The sequence below is a fragment of the Homo sapiens genome, chromosome 18 (genome assembly GCF_000001405.40).
Source record: "Homo sapiens chromosome 18, GRCh38.p14 Primary Assembly".
NCBI lineage: Eukaryota > Metazoa > Chordata > Mammalia > Primates > Hominidae > Homo > Homo sapiens.
Window position 1 is genome coordinate 35,351,140 of NC_000018.10, and position 15,383 is coordinate 35,366,522.

Genomic DNA, 15,383 nt, shown 5'->3' on the forward strand with positions numbered 1-15,383 from the left:
TTATAGGCGTGAGCTACTGCACCTGGCCTTTAAATAGTATTTAAACATTTTTTGATTTCCAGTGTTTATTGTCAGTATATATAAATGTAATTGATTTTTGTATATTGGCTTTTGCTATGGACTAAGTGTTTGTGTTACCCTGAACTTTGTATGTTAAAGCCCTAATTCACAATGTGGTGGTATTTGGAGGTGAGGCCTTAGGAGGTGATATAGTTTGGATCTGTGTCCCTGCTCAAATCTCATGTTGAATTGTGATTCCTCAATGTTGGAGGTGAGGCCTGGTAGGAGGTGATTGGATAATGGAGGCAAGTTCTCATGAATGATTTAGCACCATCCTCCTTTGGTGCTGTTCACGTGATAGAATTCTCACGAGATCTGGTAATTTAAAGCGTGTAGCACCTCCCCTCTTCTCTCTCTTCCTCCTGCTCCAGCCATGTAAGATGTGCCAGCTTCCCCTTTGCCTTCCACCATGATTTGAACTTTCCCAAGGCCTCCCCAGAAGTTGAACAGATGCTAGCATCATTCTTCCTGTACAGCTTAGAGAACCAAAAGCCAATTAATCTCTTTTCTTTATAAATTACCCAGTCTCAGGTATTTATTTATAGCAATGTGAGAATGGACTAATACTGAAAATTGGTACTGAGGAGTGGGGCATTGCTATAAAGATACCTGAAAATGTGGAAGCAGCTTTGGAACTGGGTAATGGGAAGAGGTTGGAAGAGATTAGAGGGCTCAGAAGAAGACAGGAAGATGAGGGAAAGTTTGGAAATTTCTAGAGGCTTGTTGAAGTCTTCCTAGAGACTTGTTGACCAAAAGGCCGACAGTGATATGAATAGTGAAGTCCAGGCTGAGGAGGTCTCAGATGAAGATGAGAAACTTATTGGGAAATGGAGTAAAGATCACTTTTGCTATGCTTTAGCAAAGAGCCTGGCTGCATAGTGCCCTGCTCTAGGGATCTGTGAAATTTTGAACTTGAGAATGATGATTTGGGGTATCTGGTGGAAGAGATGTCTAAGCAGCAAAGCATTCATGATGTGGCCTGGCTGCTTCTAACAACCTATGCTCATATGCACGAGCAAATAAATTAGCTGAAAGTGGAACTTACATTTAAAAGGGAAGCAGAGGGTAGAAGTTTGGAAAATTTGTAGCCTGGCAATGTTGTAGAAAAGAAAAGCCCATTTTCATGGGAGGAATTCAAGCAGGCTGCAGAAATTTGCATAAGTATAAAGGAGCCAAGTGCTAATAGCCAAGACAATGGGGAAAAGGCCTGGAAGGCATTTCAGAGACCTTTGTGGTAGCCCCTCCCATCATGGGCCTGGAGGCCTAGGAGGATAGAATGGTTTCCTGGGCCAGGACCAGGGCCCTGCTGCCCTACACAGCGTTGGGACACTGTTCCCTGCATCCCAGCCACTCCAACTCCAGCCACGTCATATAGGGGCCCAGATACAGCTTGGGCCACTGCTCCAGAGAGTGCAAGCCATAAGACTTGGCAGCTTCCACATGGTGTTAAGCCTGTGGGAATGCAGAGTGCAAGAGTTGAGATTTTGGAGCCTCCACCTAGACTTCAGAGGATGTATGGAAAAGCCTGGAGGTCCAGGCAGAGGCTTGTTGCAGGGGTGGATCCCTCATGGAGAACCTGTACTAGGGCAGTGCAAAGGGGAAATGTGGGATTGGAGCCCCCATACAGACTCCCACTGGGGCACTGCTTAGTGGGGGAATGGCAGATCCACCAGCAGCTTGCACCCTGCACTTGGAAAAGCCACAGGCACTCAGTGTCAATCCTTGAGAACAGCTATAGGGGCTGAATCCTGCAAAGCCACAGGGTGGAGCTGTCCAAGGCCTTAGGAGTCTACCCATTGCATCAGCATGCCCTGGGTGTGGGACATGGATTCAACAGAGATTATTTTGGCACTTTAAGATTTAATGATTGCTCTGCTGGATTTGGGGCTTGCACAGCACCTGTAGCCCCTTTCTTTTGGTGGGCTTCTCCCTTTTGGAATAGGAGTATTTACCCTATGCCTATACCTTCATTGTATCTTGGTTGTAACTAGTTATTTTACAGGCTTATAGGTGAAACGGTCTAACCTTGTCTCAAATGAGACTTTGGACTTTTGAGTTAATGCTGGAATGAGTTAAGACTTTGGGGACTGTTGGGAAGACATGGTTGTATTTTGCAGTGTGAGATGGACATGAGATTTGGGAGGGGCCAGGAGCAGAATGATAGAGTTTTGTTCTGTGTCCCTGCCCAAATCTTATGTCAAATTGTGTTCCCCAATATTGGAGGTGGGGCCTGGTGGGAGGTGATTGATTGGATCATGGGGGTGAGTTCTCACGAATGATTTAACACCATCCCCCTTGGTGCTTTTCTTGTGATAGAGTTCTCAAGGGATCTGGTTATTTAAAAGTGTGTAGCACCTCCCCACCTCTCTCTTGCACCTGCTCCAGCCATGTAAGAGGTACCTGCTTCCCCTTCATCTTACACCATGATTGTAAGTTTCCTGAGGCCTCCCCAGAAGCCAAACAGATGCTACCATCATGCTTCCTGTACAGAAATAAATTTCTGTTGTTTAAACCACTCAGCTTATGGTATTTTTGTTATAGGACCCCAAACTCACTAAGACAACGTTATATTTTACAATCTTGCTATACTCCCTTATTATTATTAGGAAGTTTTTTATAGATTCAGTGGGATTTTTTAGGTAGATGTTCAAGTTACCTGCAAATTGGGAGCACTTATTTTTAAAATAAATAGCCTGCATAACTTTCTTTTTTAATTTTTAAAATTAGAGACAGGGTCTCGTTTTGTCACCCAGGCTGCAGTACTATGGCGTGATCATGGCTTACTGCAGCCTCAACCTCCTGGGCTCAAGTGATCCTCCCACCTCAGCTTCCTGAGTAACTGGCACTACAGGTGTTGCTACCACATCTGGCTTTTTAAAAATTTTTGTAGAAATGAGGTCTTGCTATGTTGCCAGGCTGGTCTCAAATTCCTGGCCTTAAGTGATCCTCCTGTCTTGACATCCCAAAGTGCTGGGATTATAGGTGTGAACCACCATGCCAAGCTGTGCATAATTTTCATATCTTGCCTTATTGTACTGGTTAGGACTTCAATTACAATGTTGAATAGGAGTGCAGAGTAGACATCCCTTTTTTTGTTCTCAGTCTTAAGGAGAAAAACATTCGGCCTTTCATAATTAAGTGTTATATTAACTCTAGATTTTTAGTAGATAACCTTTACAAGTTTGAAGAAGCCTCCTTCTATTCTTTTCATAAATGGATGTGAATTTTGTCAAATACTTTTCCTGCATCAATTGATATGACCATGTGGTTTTTCCTGTTGAGACTATTAATATGGTAAATTAGCTTCACTGATTTTTGAGTACTGAGTCAACCTTACAGTTCTGGGATAAACCCTCTTGGTCATGATGTTTTATCCTTTCTATACATTGCTGAATTAAATTTGCTAGTATTTTGTTGAGGAGTTTTGTGCCTACGTCTGTGAAGGATATTGGATTGTAGTTTTCTTGTACTGTCCTTTTTTTGTTTGTCGGTCTTTTACTGTCTGTGTCATTTAGATTCAGTAATTTCTATTGATTTATCACTATTTCCTCTGTCATCTCCGTTTCCCTATTGAACCCATCAGGTGAATATTTTATTTTGATTGTTGTATTTTTCACTTCAAAAATTTCCATTCATTTCCTCTCTATATCTTCCATTTCTTTCCTGATATATATCCTTCCATTCATTCACCCTTACTTTCAAAGCATGGTTATAAAACTTGCCTTAAAGTTTTTTCTGTGAACCCTAATGTCTGTATCATCTAGGTGTTGGCATCACTTGATTTTTTTTTCTCTTGCAAGTGGAGATATTCCTGGTTCTTTCTGTGCCTAGTAATTTTGCATTGTATCCTGCACATTTTCAATATTATGCTGTCAGATCCTGGGCATTATTTAAGTCATAAGGAGAATGTTGATGTTTTTCTTTAACAGTCAACTGCCCTAGTTAGGGTCAGGTTGCAAGTTCTGATCTGCATTGTGTGGGCTGTAGTTCCAATGTCAGTTCAGGTTTCACACATTTCCAGTTCAATTTGGGTCTTTGTGTCTGCCACCCAGTGGCCAATCTGGGGCCTAAGCGGTAGTCTATCTTGTAGCTCAGTTCTCAATGCCTGTGATGTGCCAGTTAGGGTCAGCTTCACACATGCGCAGTTTAGAGGCAAGCAGACAGCGCTCATACAAAACTTTAGGGGATCTCACTTGATCTCCATCTTCTTTGCAATAACTTTATCACTTTTCTGGCTCCCTGGGGTCTGTCTTACCAGTTCTTCAGTTAGAAAGCTGGGGTTTTAGTTTCCTGGTTTAGTTCTGCTGTTTACTTCTCCCAGCTGCATTCCGCATCCTGGTCCAAGCAGCCAGAGGACACAGAGAAAATAAAAGCAATGGGGATTTGCTCCATGCTTCTGGGACCAAAGCAACTCTGTTCAGAACAAAGTGTTCATCTCCCTCTGAGCTTAAAGTGCCTTCCCACAGCCTGGGTGACAGAGTGAGGCCCTGTCTCTAAAATAAATAGATCATTAAATAAATTAATTTAATTAAATGCCTTCCAAAAGACTACTGCCATTGCAATGCTGCTGACGCCAATGCTACTGCCATACTATTCCCTGAAGACTGGGGTAGAAGAGAAGGGAAATAAAGCAAAGAATACTGTATGTGGGATTTTCCCATTCTCTCTGACCCTTAGAATCCCCCTTTCCCACTCCAAACTTTATTAGGGCAGGGATTTTTTTTTAAAGCAGCTTCAATTTGTTTCTTCCAATACTTTTCTTTTTCATTGTGGTAAAATATATGTAACATGAAAATTGATCATTTTAACCATTTTAAGTGTACAATTCCTTAGGCCAGAGACAGAACTCTTATCTTGGAACTTTCTATTCATTTTCGGTGTGCACTTCTGGGTTTCAGGCTGCCTTTGAGTATAAGCAAAGAGATGCCAAGTGGGGAATTTCGTGCGCATCTGTGTGAAGAAACCACCAAACAGACTTTGTGTGAGCAACAAGGCTGTTTCTTTCACCTGGGTGCAGGTGGGCTGAGTCCGAAAAGAGAGTCAGCGAAGGGAGATAGGGGTGGGGCCATTTTATAGGATTTGGGTAGGTAAAGGGAAATTACAGTCAAAGGGGACTTGTTCTCTGGCAGGCAGGTGTGGGGGTCACAAGGTGCTCAGTAGGGGAGCTTTTGAGCCAGGATGAGCCAGGAGAAGGAATTTCACAAGATAATGTCATCAGTTAAGGCAGGAACAGGCCATTTTCACTTCTTTTGTGGTGGAATGTCATCAGTTAAGGCAGGAACTGGCCATCTGGATGTGTACGTGCAGGTCACAGGGGATATGATGGCTTAGCTTGGGCTCAGAGGCCTGACATTCCTGTCTTCTTATATTAATACGAAAAATAAAACTAGATAGCAGTAAAATGTTGAGATGGTGAAAATTTTGGGGGGTGGTATGGAGAGATAATGGGCGATGTTTCTCAGGGCTGCTTCAAGCGGGATTAGGGGCAGCGTGGGAACCTAGAGTGGGAGAGATTAAGCCGAAGGAAGATTTTGTGGTAAGGGGTGATATTGTGAGGTTGTTAGAAGAAACATTTTCGTGTAGAATTATTGGTGATGGCCTGGATACGGTTTTGTATGAATTGAAAAACTAAACGGAATAATAGAAGGAGAAATACAGGTATTAAAGGACTAAGAATTGGGAGGACTTAGGACATCTAATTAGAGAGTGCCTAAAGAGGTTCAGCATAGCCTTGCCAGCAAAGATTATTTATTTACTTTAAGAGTTAAGAGTGGCAGTTTGGGGATAGCACCAGGAGATATCAGCTGTGATGCCTTGGAGAAACAGTGTAAACCGGCAGTGTAAACAAGAGCAGGGCATGTATGAGTAGTTGAGAACGGAGAATAAGAGTATGACTAGACAGAAAATAGTAGGGATGACAAGTTTTTTGGGGCACAGGCCAAGTTGGTCTGGTGTCTGGGATGAGACTGGGGCCTAATAAAAAGGAGCATCTATACAGGAGCTCAAATGGGCTGTACCCTGCAGCATTGTGAGGACAGGCCTGAATTCTGAGAAGGAAAAGTGGTAAAAGTATTGTCCAGTCCTTTTTAAGTTGGTGGCTGAGCTTGATGAAGTGTGTGTTTAAAAGATCTTTAGTCCATTCTACTTTTCCTGAAAACTGAGGACCATAAGGGATATAAAGGTTTCACTGAATACTAAGAGCCTGAAAAAATGCTTCGCTGATTTGACTAATAAAGGTTGGTCTGTTATCAGACTGTATAGAGGTGGGAAGGCTAAACTGAGGAATTATGTCTGACAGAAGGGAAGAAATGACTGCGGTGGCATTCTCAGACCCTGTAGGAAAGGCCTCTACCTATCCAGTGAAAGTATCTACCTAGACTAAGAGGTATTTTAGTCATCTGACTCGGGGCATGTTGAGTAAAGCCAATTTGCCAGTCCTGGGTGGGGACAAATCCTCGAGCTTGATGTGTAGGGAAGGGAGGGGGCCTGAATAATCCCTGAGAAGTAGTAGAATAGCAGATGGAACACTGAGAAGTTACTTCCTTGAGGATAGATTTCCACGATGGAAAGGAAATGAGAGGTTCTAAGAGGCGGGCTAGTGGCTTTTACTATAGCATAGCCTGCCTTTGTTGGTGTGTAGCGATTAGGCCTGGTGGAACTGCCATCAATAAACCAAGTGTGATCAGGGTGAGGAACAGGAAAGAAGGAAATATGGGGAAATGGGGTGAATGTCAGTTGGATCAGAGAGATACAGTTATGGGGGTCAGGTGTAGCATCAGGAATAATGTGGGAGGCCGGACTGAAGTCCGGGCCAGGAAAAATGGTAACTGTGGGAGACTCAACAAAGAGTGAGTACAGCTGAAGGAGCTGGGGAGCAGAAAGTATATGTGTCAGGTGTGAAGAAGAAAATAGATTTTGGAAGTTATGAGAACTGTAGAGAGTGAATTGAGCATAGTTTGTGATTTTAAGGGCCTCTAAAAGTATTAGGGCGGCGGCAGCCACCGCATGCAGAACTTGAGGGCTAGGCAAAACAGTAAGGTCAAGTTGTTTGGATAAAAAGGCTACAGGGCACGGTCTTGGTTCTTGTGTAAGAATTCTGACTGCACAGTCCTGCACTTTGGCTGTGGGTAATGAAAATGGTTGGGATGAGTCAGGGAGAGCTAGGTGGGGGCAGTCTCTAAAGCTGTCTTCAAGGAACGGAAAGAGGAGTGGGGAAAGGATTTAGGATCTATGGGGTCAGCTAGGTTTCCTTTTGTGAATTTATATAGTGGTTTTGTTAGGATGGCAAAACCAGGTATCTAAAGTTGAAAGTATCTAACCATGCCTAGGAAGGAAAGGAATTGTTGTTTTGTAGAAGGTGTTGGGGTTTGAGAGATCAGCTGGACACGATCAGCAGGGAGAGCACGTGTGTTTTTATGAGAATTATGCCGAGATAGGTAACAGATGAGGAAGAAATTTGGGCTTGACTGAAATAATGGGGGCTGTCTGTGAATTCTTGCAGGTAATTTGCTGAGCCTAATGGGTGTCAAGGTCAGTGCAAGTGAAAGTGAAGAGAGGCTGGGATGAAGGGTGCAAAGGAATAGTAAAGAAAGCATGTTTGAGATCCAGAACAGAATAATGGGTTGTGGAGGGAGGTATTGAGGATAGGAGAGTATATGGGTTTGGCACCATGGGGTGGATAGGCAAAACAATTTGGTTGATAAGGCGCAGATCCTGAACTAACCAGTAAGGCTTGTTTGGTTCTAGGACAGGTAAAATGGGGGAATTGTAAGGAGAGTTTCTAGGCTTTAAAAGGCCATGCTGTAACAGGTGAGTGATAACAGGCTTTAATCCTTTTAAAGTGTGCTGTGGGATGGGATATTGGCATTCATCGGGGTAAGGTTGATTAGGTTTTAATGGGATGGTAAGGGGTGCATGATCGGTCACCAAGGAGGGAGTAGAGGTATCATACTTGTGGGTTAAGGTGGGGAGATACAAGGGGAGGATGTGAAGGAGGTTTTGAACTGGGGGAAAAGGTGGCAATGAGGTGTGGCTGTAGTCCAGGCACAGTCAGGGAAGCAGATAATTTAGTTAAAGTGTCTCGGCCTAATAAGGGAACTGGGCAGGTGGGGATAACTAAAAAGGAGTGCTTAAAAGAGTATTGTCTAAGTTGGCACCAGAATTAGGGAGTTTTAAGAGGTTTAGAAGCCTGGCCGTCAATACCTACAACAGTTATGGAGGCAAGGGAAACAGGCCTTTGAAAAGAAGGTAATGTGGAGTGGGTTGCCTCCGTATTAAGAAGGGGATGGACTTACCCTCCACTGTGATAGTTACCCAGAGTGTCTGTGATGGTCCTGTAGGCTTCCAAGGCGATTGGGTAGTGTCAGTCTTCATCTGCTAAGCCGAGAAGATCTGGGAAGGAGTCAGTCAGAGAGCCTTAGGCCAGAGTTCCAGGGGCTCTGGAAGTGGCAGCCAGGTGAGTTGAACGTCGGATTTTCATTGGGGTCCCGCACAGATGGGATATGGCTTAGAAGGAATCCTGGGCTGTGGGCATTCCTTGGCCCAGTGGCCAGATTTCTGGCACTCGTAGCAAGCTCCTGGGGGAGGAGGTTCTGGAGGAACCCCTGGCAGCTGCGGTTCAGGCATTTGGAGTTCTTGTGTGCTGGAGATGTGGCTGGGGTTTGTCTCACAGTGGAGGCAAGGAATTGCAACTCAGAAATATGTTGCTACTTAGCTGCCTCTACTCTATTATTGTACACCTTGAAAGCGAGGTTAATTAAGTCCTGTTGTGGGGTTTGAGGGCTGGAATTTAATTTTTGGAGCTTTATTTAATGTCGGGAGCAGATTGGGTAATAAAATAAAATGTGTATTGAGAATAAGACAGCCTTTTGACCTTTCAGGGTCTAGGGCTGTAAAGCGTCTCAGGGTTGCTGCCAAATGAGCCATGAACTGGGCTGGGTTTTTCATATTTGATGAAAAAGAGCCTAAATACTAACTGATTTGGGAGAGACCAGATAAAGAAAAAGGAGCATTAACCTTGACTATGCCTTTAGCTCCAGCCACCTTTTTAAGAGGAAATTGCTGGGGCAGGTGGGGGAGGGCTAATCACAGAATGAAACCGTAAGCTGGACCAGGTGTGAGGAGGAGAGGTGATAAAAGGATTATAGGGTGGAGGAGCAGGGGCTGAGGAAGAATTGGGACTTAGCTCGGCCTGGCAAGGAGGGGAGAGGTCAGATGGGTCTGTAGAAAAGGAAGATTAGAAAGACTCAGCGACGCTTGGGGTTGGGACTGAGGGGACCAGTGGGAGGGGAGGAAGATTTGGGACGAGCTGCATTGGGAACAGAGACTAGAGAGGGACCGATGTGTAAAAGAATGCCTGGACATCAGGCACCTCAGACCGTTTGCCCAATTTACAACAAGAATTATTTAGATGATGTAGGATGGAAAAATCGAAAGTGTTGTTTTCTGGCTATTGGAACCACTGTTGAGTTTGTATTGGGGTCAAGTGACATTGTAGAAGAAAATAAGGCATTTAGGTTTTAGGTCAGGTGTGAGTTGAAGAGGTTTTAAGTTCTTGAGAACACAGGCTAAGGGAGAGGAGGAATGGAGGGTGGAAGGTTGCCCATAGTGAAGAAGGCAAGTTTAAAGAGAAGGGTAGAGACACGGAGAAGGGGGTGGGGAGCAGCCCTGGGCTGCAACATGGGTGAGCAGCCAAAGCAGGCATCCCCACAATTGACTTGCCACCAAAGGAATGTGGGTGAATGATCAAGGCAGGCATCCCCGCGGAGATCAGACACCAATGGAACGTGGGTGAATAATCAGAGAGGCGTCCCCACAATGATTAAACACCAAGGGAAGGCTGCCTTCTCGAGTCCGTGACCGGCGCCGGAGTTTTGGGTCCACGGATAAAATGTGTCTCCTTTGTCTTTACCAGAAAATGAAAGGAATTGAAATTAAGAGAAAGGAGAGATTGAAGTGTGGCGCCAAGATTGAAAGGAGAAAGAGGTTGAGGGATAGTGAGGGAGGTTGAAGAAGAGAGTAAAAAGAGGCCACTTACCGGATTTGAAATTGGTGAGATGTTCCTTGGGCTGGTCGGTCTGAGGACCCGAGGTCGTAGGTGGATCTTTCTCATGGAGCAAAGAGCAGGAGGACAGGGGATTGATCTCCCAAGGGAGGTCCCCCAATCCGAGTCACGGCACCAAATTTCATGCGCGTCCATATGAAGAGACCACCAAACAGGCTTTGTGTGAGCAACAAGACTGTTTATTTCACCTGGGTGCAGGCGGGCTGAGTCTGAAAAGAGAGTCAGCAAAGGGAGATAGGGGCGGGGCCATTTTATAAGATTTGGGTAGGTAAAGGAAAATTACAGTCAAAGGGGGGTTGTTCTCAGGCAGGAGTGGGGGTCACAAGGTGCTCAGTAGGGGAGCTTTTGAGCCAGGATGAGCCAGGAGAAGGAATTTCACAAGATATTGTCATCAGTTAAGGCAGGAACAGGTCATTTTCACTTATTTTGTGGTGGAATGTCATCAGTTAAGGCAGGAACCAGTCATCTGGATGTGTACATGCAGGTCACAGGAGATATGATGGCTTAGCTTGGGCTCAGAGGCCTGACAAGGGGGAGTGTGCTTACTCTATCTTCCCTGGAGTCAGAGCCTCTGTTCTTGTTTTTATCATTTTACTTGGTTTAAGTTGCTTTTTTTGTTTTTTTTTCCCCCCTAGTTTATTAAGGTGGATGATTAGATAATTCATTTTAAATATTCTCTTTTACTATAGCTATTGAAAGGAATGGTACATCTGGGCTTCAGTCGTGCTTTCCTGTTGTTTTCTATTTTTTCCCTTCACATTTATGTGCTTAAAATCCTGCAGTTTTCATAGCTCTTTCTTCCACATGTGTCAGCTTCATCTTCCAGCTGATGCAGCATTTCCTAGCATCATAACCATTCACAGTAACATGTGGGAATAGGACGATATCATCTGTATGTCTCTTTTTTTTTTTTAGAAGAAAGCAAGCTTTTCCCAGAAGTCAGGGGGCAGGCTTCTCCTGATGTCTCATTGGCCTGGATTGGGTGAAATACTCATTCCTAAACCAAAAGCAGGCAAGTGGAATTGTTTTTGTTTTAATTTTTTTTCTTTTTAAAAAGATGGGGTCTTGCTTTGCTGCCCAGCTGGTCTTGAACTCCTGAGCTTAAGCAATCCTCTGGTCTTAGCCTCCCAAAGTGCTAGGATTACAGGTGTGAGCCACCATGCCTGGCCCACAGGTGGAATTGGATGATCATGATTGGCTTGGACTAATCATTTGGGGTAGAAAAAGTATTAAGAAGTCAAACCGTAAAACCACCTAGGTGACAAGACTGGTAATAGCCAAAAAATTAAAAAAAATTAATAGGCTGATCCAGTTCTGATGCAGCACATTAACATGTCCAAATGGAGATATTCTACCTAGAATCCTGACAACTACTTCTAAGATGGATAGACTGGAGCCCCCAAAGCTATATAGGAAAAGATACCAAATGTCTATGTGGTTGATCATTAACTATGACACTAGAGTCCACACCTTATGTAAGCTGTCTCTCAATGTCATTGTCACCTTTGCATAAAAATGACCCTTCAGTTGAAGACAAACCATTTAGATTCAAACACAACTAAGATTAATACACCCAGACAATAAGGTACATCCATTGAGCAAAATCTCAGGAATCAGCAAAGTAATTAAACATATAGATTTATATAAGAAAATAATTTTGAGTCTAAGAAATTACAACCAATTTTTATATTATTTCCTAGCCATTCAGGATTTGTGGCCTATATGGTCCATTTGAACATTCTTCCAGGGCTCCTTGGATAATCTCATCATCCCCTGTCCTCAATGTTTAGTGGCAAAGGGAACATTATTTGGGCTTACAGTCAGTCAGTCCTTTCACCAAGGACATCTGGATTTTATCTTTCAGATTCTTTGCTTTTGAATAACATTCATTCCACAGGATTTTCTTTTCTTTGCTAGAATATAAGCTTTATTATGGCAGGGATTATAAAAAAGCAGCTTCATTTTTGTTTCTTCCAATGCTTTTGTTTTTCATTGTGATAAGATATACGTAACAAAAATTTATCATTTTAACCATTTTTAAGTGTACAATTCAGTGGTGTTAAGAACATTTGTAATGTTATTCAACTATCACCACTTTACATTTCCAGAACTTTTTCATGATTTTAACAGAAACCATGTATCCACAATAACTTCCATTCCCCCTTTCCTCTAGCCCCTGATAATCATTATTTGACTTTATGTCTTTATGAATTTGCCTATTCTAGTTACCTCAAATAAGCAGAATCACATTTGCCCTTTCATGTCTGGCTTATTTCACTTAGCATAGTGTTTTTAAGGTTCATCCTTGTAGCATGTATCAGAATTTCATTTGTTTTTATGGCTGAATAATACTCTGTTGTATGTCTATACCAAATTTTGTTTATTCATTCATATGTAGATGGTCATTTGTGTAGTTTCCACCTTTTGGTTATTTCAAATAATGCTGCTATGAACATTGGCATACAGATACCTGTTTGAGTCTCTGCTTTCAGATCTTTTGAATATATACATAGAAGTGGAATTACTGGATCATATGAGAATTTTGTTTAACTTTTTGAGGAACCACCAAACTGTTTTCCATAGCAGCTACACCATTTTACATTCCTAATGGCAATGTGCAAAGGTTCCAATTTCTCCTCATCTTTTCCAATACCTGTTTCTTTTTAAAATAATAACCATCCTAATGGTTGTGAAGTGGTATCTCATTGTGCTTTTGATTTGCATTTCCCTAATGATTAGTGACATTGGCCATCTTTTCATGTGTTTATTGGCCATTTAGGTATCCTCTTTGAGAAGTGTCTATTCATGACCTTTGCCCATTTTTGAAATTTCTGTTGTTGTTGAGTTGGAGGGGTTCTTTATATATTCTAGATAGTAATCCCTTATCAGATATATAATTTTCAAATATTTTTGTTCCACAAGTATTTGAGTGCCTATTATGGGCCACGTACTGTGCCAGATGCTTGGGAAACAATGGTAAATGAGGCAGCTTATGCTCTCAGGCAGCATGAAATAGTGGAGTCAATACAGAAATAGATATAATCTCCATTTAGCAGGGCAAAAAGTTATCACATTGCTTCTCAAATAAGCAAAGGAAAATGTAGTTTATTTTTTATAACTGATAATCTTTTTTCTTGAATCCTTGCCCCATTGGGTGGGTGGGTGGGTGGTGAAAGAGCTGAATTAAATTGCTATATTTAGTTATTATGAAATTGAATTATTCAGTCCATTTTAAGTTCAACTCCCTCTCATGGCTATTTCTCACTCTGCCCTTTTCTGCCACCTGCTTGGGAAGGTGAGGGGGGCATACATTCCCTGTGATGAGGTGGTGCTATGGATTAGGTGTTAGGTGGGCTTGCTGTTCTGATCTTCTCTGGTTTCTATTCTGGGCAGCTGGTCTTCTGTGGTGCTTGCTCACCAAACCTGCGGCAACAAATCATCTGTTTTTTTGGTTGGGCTGGGGGCCAGTGTCTCTTCCTTGGTGATTTGCCTCCACTTTGTTTCTAGGAAGAGCTATAGGTCCCCAGTAAGGTCTGGTGGGCCCTGCAGCTCTTAGCTACAGGATCCACAAGGTTACTTGCTCAACTATCCCAACTTTCCAGCTCTATAGTCAGCTATTTTCCAAGGTTCCCACTGGGCACAGAGAACTGCCGTATCTCTTTCAAGCCACATACTAGCTGATAGAAGCCATTTACCTAACACTGAATGGCTGTTTTTATGAGAGTTCAGTGTTGGAGCACTAGCAGTCTGTTCAACAATTTTCCTCCCAATGCACTCAATGGCAAGGGGGCACAGCCTTCTCCCCTTGATTCTCCCCTAACCCCCTCCAAAATTCTGCAGGGTTGGGCAACAGAGGTGAAAGGACACCCTGTGCCTGACCCTCTCATTGACTCACTCTTCCCAGGACTAGGAGAGCCTTAAAAATTTTTCTTTTTGCTACTCCATAACTTTTTCCATCCCAAGGTGTCATTTATTCTCCTCTTCCTTGCAGCCATACTTGTAATTTAATACTTTAAAAATATTTTATTTCATGAGATAAATGTAATGGTAAGGATAAGAACAGACTGATATGCAATTAACATAAGAGTGTGGTGGTGCTCTCCAACCTACTCTTTGGGTGTTAGGGAAGAAGTGGTACCTAAACTAAAACATGAAGAACACACAGGAATTAGGTAACATGTGAAAGCTAGATAGGAGTTCAAAAGGAGTACATGGAAAGGTCCAAAGGCTAGAGGACTTCTGATATTTCAAAATGGCTGAAGCATAGAGGCAATGGCAAGAGCTGAAGCTGAAGTGGTAAGCTGTGGTCAGATCACAAAGAGCCTTAACAATCTTGTTTAGCAGTTCTGACTTTATCCTAAAACAAGGGAAAGCCTATGTCTTAGACAGGGAAAGGGCATGATAAAATGTATGCCTTAGCAAGATTACTCTGGTTGAGAGATGAATGCATATGAAGAGGGGAAAGTTAAGGGCCACATAATTCCCCTCACTCAGGGACTAGCCACCATCTTGAATTTTGCCAGTGTAAGCTGGAAAAATATAGGGTAGGAGGCAGGGTCACAACAGCATATTTAAGTGTTGAAGGGATGGATGCAGAAGGAAGGCAGAGAGTGAAGAAATAGAAGAGAGGAAGAATGACTGGCAGCCAAGGCCTTTCAGAGGTGAGAATGCTGAGGCTCAGAGGGGAGAGACCCCTCTCTCATTCTCAGACGGGGGAGAGGCCCCTCTCTCATTCTCAGAAGAGGGAGAGGAAATGATGGGTAAAGTGTAAATAATTTGGCAAATTTAGTCATAGGAACTTGTAAGAGTTCTTATCTTTTTTTCCTTTAATGCAGGAAGCAAAAGATAGTTGTCTGCCCGTAAGGAGGAAGGTGGCAAAGGATTAGTATGGCAAACACGGTTGGCTAACCCAATGTCGTCCTCAACCCCCATCTGGCCTGCTTTCCCTCTAGAGGTTGAAAACGCTTGCCCTACCAGACACAGTTGCAACAGGGAAACATAAGCCAGATTTTGCTAAGGTTTTTGGAAAGCTTTTTGCTTAGCATGGCTGTCTTTCTCCTTTCTTCCTGACTTAATCCTAGTTCCTAGAGCTGTGACAGCTCTCTCGAAAATCGGACAAAATAGCATGAGGTAAAGTTAGACCAGTCGTCATTCCAGCTGCAGATTGAGAGCCAGCAACCCACCTTCCAGATTTCAGGTTGAAAATTCCTATTTGTTTAAACCACCAAAGATGGATTTTGCATCCAGAAGCATTCCTAAC

General features: G+C 43.0%; 3 annotated features.

Moving 5' to 3' along the window:
* Positions 3,864-4,384: an enhancer, noted in NCBI's record as "OCT4-NANOG hESC enhancer chr18:32934967-32935487 (GRCh37/hg19 assembly coordinates)". NCBI's record gives its function as "activates a minimal SCP1, AML or CMV promoter by ChIP-STARR-seq in primed H9 embryonic stem cells {active_cell/tissue: H9 hESC(primed)}" and the evidence as "EXISTENCE:reporter gene assay evidence [ECO:0000049][PMID:30033119]".
* Positions 4,026-4,205: a silencer, noted in NCBI's record as "silent region_9397". NCBI's record gives its function as "represses an Ori minimal core promoter by ATAC-STARR-seq in GM12878 lymphoblastoid cells {active_cell/tissue: GM12878}" and the evidence as "EXISTENCE:reporter gene assay evidence [ECO:0000049][PMID:35858748]".
* Positions 5,037-5,569: an enhancer, noted in NCBI's record as "OCT4-NANOG hESC enhancer chr18:32936140-32936672 (GRCh37/hg19 assembly coordinates)". NCBI's record gives its function as "activates a minimal SCP1, AML or CMV promoter by ChIP-STARR-seq in naive and primed H9 embryonic stem cells {active_cell/tissue: H9 hESC(naive and primed)}" and the evidence as "EXISTENCE:reporter gene assay evidence [ECO:0000049][PMID:30033119]".